At 52.1% G+C, this 3,777-nt stretch overlaps 2 annotated features.

Moving 5' to 3' along the window:
- Positions 937–1,556: an enhancer, noted in NCBI's record as "CNE-2 PCR-amplified reporter construct fragment". NCBI's record gives its function as "enhancer in ovo in chicken limb buds, and in human U2OS osteosarcoma cells" and the evidence as "EXISTENCE:reporter gene assay evidence [ECO:0000049][PMID:19997128, PMID:26631348]".
- Positions 994–1,293: a conserved region, noted in NCBI's record as "conserved region; CRCNE00011089 more deeply conserved sub-region". NCBI's record gives the evidence for it as "EXISTENCE:sequence alignment evidence [ECO:0000200][PMID:21731768]".

A 3,777-nucleotide genomic window follows, 5' to 3' on the forward strand; every position in this document is an offset into this window, starting at 1 on the left:
AGGGGATATATGGAGAGGCTGCTCTGGAGAGGGGACATATGGGGAGGCTGCTCTGGAGAGGGGATATATGGGGAGGCTGCTCTGGAGAGGGGATATATGGGGAGGCTGCTCTGGAGAGGGGACATATGGAGAGGCTGCTCTGGAGAGGGGACATATGGAGAGGCTGCTCTGGAGAGGGGACGTATGGGGAGGCTGCTCTGGAGAGGGGATATATGGGGAGGCTGTTCTGGAGAGGGGACGTATGGAGAGGCTGCTCTGGAGAGGGGATATATGGGGAGGCTGCTCTGGAGAGGGGACGTATGGAGAGGCTGCTCTGGAGAGGGCATGTATGGAGAGGCTGCTCTGGAGAGGGGACATATGGAGAGGCTGCTCTGGAGAGGGGATGTATGGAGAGGGGACGTATGGAGAAGCTGCTCTGGAGAGGGGACGTATGGGGAGGCTGCTCTGGAGAGGGGACATATGGAGAGGCTGCTCTGGAGAGGGGATATATGGGGAGGCTGCTCTGGAGAGGGGACATATGGAGAGGCTGCTCTGGAGAGGGCATGTATGGAGAGGCTGCTCTGGAGAGGGGACATATGGAGAGGCTGCTCTGGAGAGGGGACGTATGGGGAGGCTGCTCTGGAGAGGGGACGTATGGGGAGGCTGCTCTGGAGAGGGGATATATGGGGAGGCTGTTCTGGAGAGGGGACGTATGGAGAGGCTGCTCTGGAGAGGGGATGTATGGAGAGAGGGGATGTATGGAGAGAGGGGATTTATGGAGAGGTCCCACACCAGGCTCCATCCAAGGAAGGGAGAAGCATTTTCACCCAGGCCCTGTTTACGCTTCGCCGCGCTGTCCTCTGTCACGCACCGTGGCCGAGACCACAGCTGAACGTCCAGAGGCTGCAGAGAAAAACAGAAGCTGGCTCTGTGTGTGTGTGTGTGTGTGTGTGTGTGACATGACAGCCGGGCCTCTGAAGCGCGCCGTGGAAGACGCAGTTGTGAGGATATACGTGGCAATTAAAAATAATTGGCAAGCAGGTCTCGTTCAGCCCTTCGGAGAATGCAGCGACCATATAATGATGTTTCATTAGCCATGCTGTACACTGCACGCTCCGTATGGCACTCACAATTAAACAGCCTCATAAAGGAGAGAAGGAGGGAAGAGAGAAACATGAAAAAACCCAAAATACCCCAGCTCAGATTAGCATTGCATGTAATCGGCACTTCATTAGCTAATTGATTTCTTATTAGTTACAGGCAGTGGCCCAGCTAGGGCTTCTGCACACGTCATTAGCTGCATTTACACCGTTATGCGGATGCTCGTTTTGTAGCTAAACATTCCTGGAATCAAGGGTGCCTCTGTTGCTTACGGCAATTGCACTCACTTTATTTTATGTTTTCTTGCTAATGTTGGCTTAACCTCCAAATCAAAAATTCTCTCCCCCTGGAGTGGGGGGGAGCCTCACCAGATTTAATCACAACGTTCAACACAGAGAAACAGGCCACGTCATCCGATCTGAGCTCAGCTACGTCTTGTTTGCTGTGTTTTATTTTCAGCTTGTTTTATGGCTCGCCGGAAAAAGCCAGCCGTCTTCCCCGGGGACAGTCATCTCTGGACAGGGTGCATGTCCCCCCTCACGACGTCCAATGTCACCACGGCTGCATGTCGCACCTTGCAGATGGACAGCTGTAGGCCTGACCACACCTGTCTTTAAATGCTTCTTGGGGTGGTGGGGGGAGGGGGAAGTTTGCAGAGGTCTGAAATTCACAGGTAACCGTCTCTCTCCATGGCACAGAAATGGATTGCGAACTGGCGTCGGCCACGGAGAGGCTGCTTGGACCTCAGTGTAGGATTACTTTTGGTTATACGATATTTTATAAGCATATATAATTTGGTTTTCTGATTTTGGGTTTTTTGTTTTATTTATTTATTATTTATTTATATATGATTTATTATTTATTTGATTATTTATTTATTATCTTATTTACTTATTTATTTATTTAATTTTTTTTTCTGAGACGGAGTCTCGCTCTGTCGCCCAGGCTGGAGTGCGGTGGCGCGATCTCGGCTCACTGCAAGCTCCGCCTCTCGGGTTCACGCCATTCTCCTGCCTCAGCCTCCCGAGTAGCTGGGACTACAGGTGCCCGCCACCACGCCCGGCTAATGTTTGTATTTTTAGTAGAGACGGGGTTTCACCGTGTTGGCCAGGCTGGTCTCGATCTCCTGACCTCAGGTCATCCGCCCGCCTCGGCCTCCCAAAGTGCTGGGATTACAGGCATGAGCCACCATGCTGGGCCTGTTCCTTTTGTTTTTATTTTTTCTAGAGATGGGGGTCTTGCTGTGTTGCCCAGGCTGGTCTTGAACTCCTGGCCTCGAGCCATCCTCCCACCTCAGCCTCCCAAAGTGTTGGGATGGTGGGCACGAGACACCATGCCCGGCCCCAGATGATGTTTTAAAATGACTTCTGTGGGTGGCTTATCCAGAAGGAGTTTGAATTTTAGGGAAGCAGAACCCTAGGCCAACTCTGATTCAAAGATTAGACGATTGCCTTTTGTTGTTTTTTTTAAGACGGAGTCTCGCTGTGTCGCCCAGGCCGGAGTGCAGTGGCACCATCTCGGCTCACTGCAAGCTCCGCCTCTGGGGTTCACACCATTCTCCTGCCTCAGCATCCCGAGTAGCTGGGACTACAGGCACCCGCCACCTCGCCCGGCTAATTGTTTGTATTTTTAGTAGAGACAGGGTTTCACCGTGTTAGCCGGGATGGTCTCGATCTCCTGACCTCATGATCCACCAGCCTCGGCCTCCCAAAGTGCTGGGATGCCAGGCGTTAGCCACCGCGCCCGGCCGCCTTCTATTGTTTTAAATTTTGCAGAATCTCAGTCATGGGAGGCCACCCTCTTTGTGGGGGTGATCGAGGGTGTTTGCTGTATGGACGAAGGTGTGGATGAAAATGTTTCCATTTGAAGACACTCACGGACAGTCAATGGGCTGAATTCTGCCCCCCGCCTCACAAGACTCATGTATTGACAACCTAACGTCGAGGCCGGGCGCGGTGGCTCAAGCCTATAATCCCAGCACTTTGGGAGGCTGAGGCAGGCGGATCACAAGGTCAGGAGTTCAAGACCAGCCTGGCCAAGATGGTGAAACCCTGTCTCTACTAAAAATACAAAATTAGCCCGGCGTGGTGGCTCACGCCTGTCATCCCAGCACTTTGGGAGGCCGAGGCGGGTGGATCACCTGAGGTCAGGAGTTGGAGACCAGCCTAATCAACATGGAGGAACTGCATCTCTACTAAAAATACAAAAATTAGCCAGGCGTGGTGGCGGGCGCCTGTAATCCCAGCTACTCAGGAGGCTGGGGCAGGAGAGTTGCTTGAACCTGGGAGATGGAGGTTGCAGTGAGGTGAGATCGCACAATTGCAGTCCAGCCTGAGAAATAAGGGCGAAACTCCCTCTTAAAAAAAAAAAAAAAAAAACCCACAAAAAACAGACATCAGCAGGCCAGAACTAGAAGTCCATTCGTAAACAGCATAGCATGTTAAAATAATTCCAGCCTGGACCACATGGCAAAACCCCGTCTCTACTAAAAATGCAGACAATTAGAAGGATGTGGTGGCTCGTGCCTGTAATCCCAGCTACTCTGGAGGCTGAGGCAGGAGAGTCGCTTGAACCTGGCAGACGGAGGTTGCAGTGAGGCGAGATCACGCCATTGCGGTCCAGCCTGGGCAACGAGTACGAAACTCTGTCTAAAAAATAAAAAAATAAAAAAAAGCAGACATCAGCAGGCCAGAACTA

This window comes from Homo sapiens, chromosome X (assembly GCF_000001405.40).
Source record: "Homo sapiens chromosome X, GRCh38.p14 Primary Assembly".
In the NCBI taxonomy this organism is placed as follows: domain Eukaryota; kingdom Metazoa; phylum Chordata; class Mammalia; order Primates; family Hominidae; genus Homo; species Homo sapiens.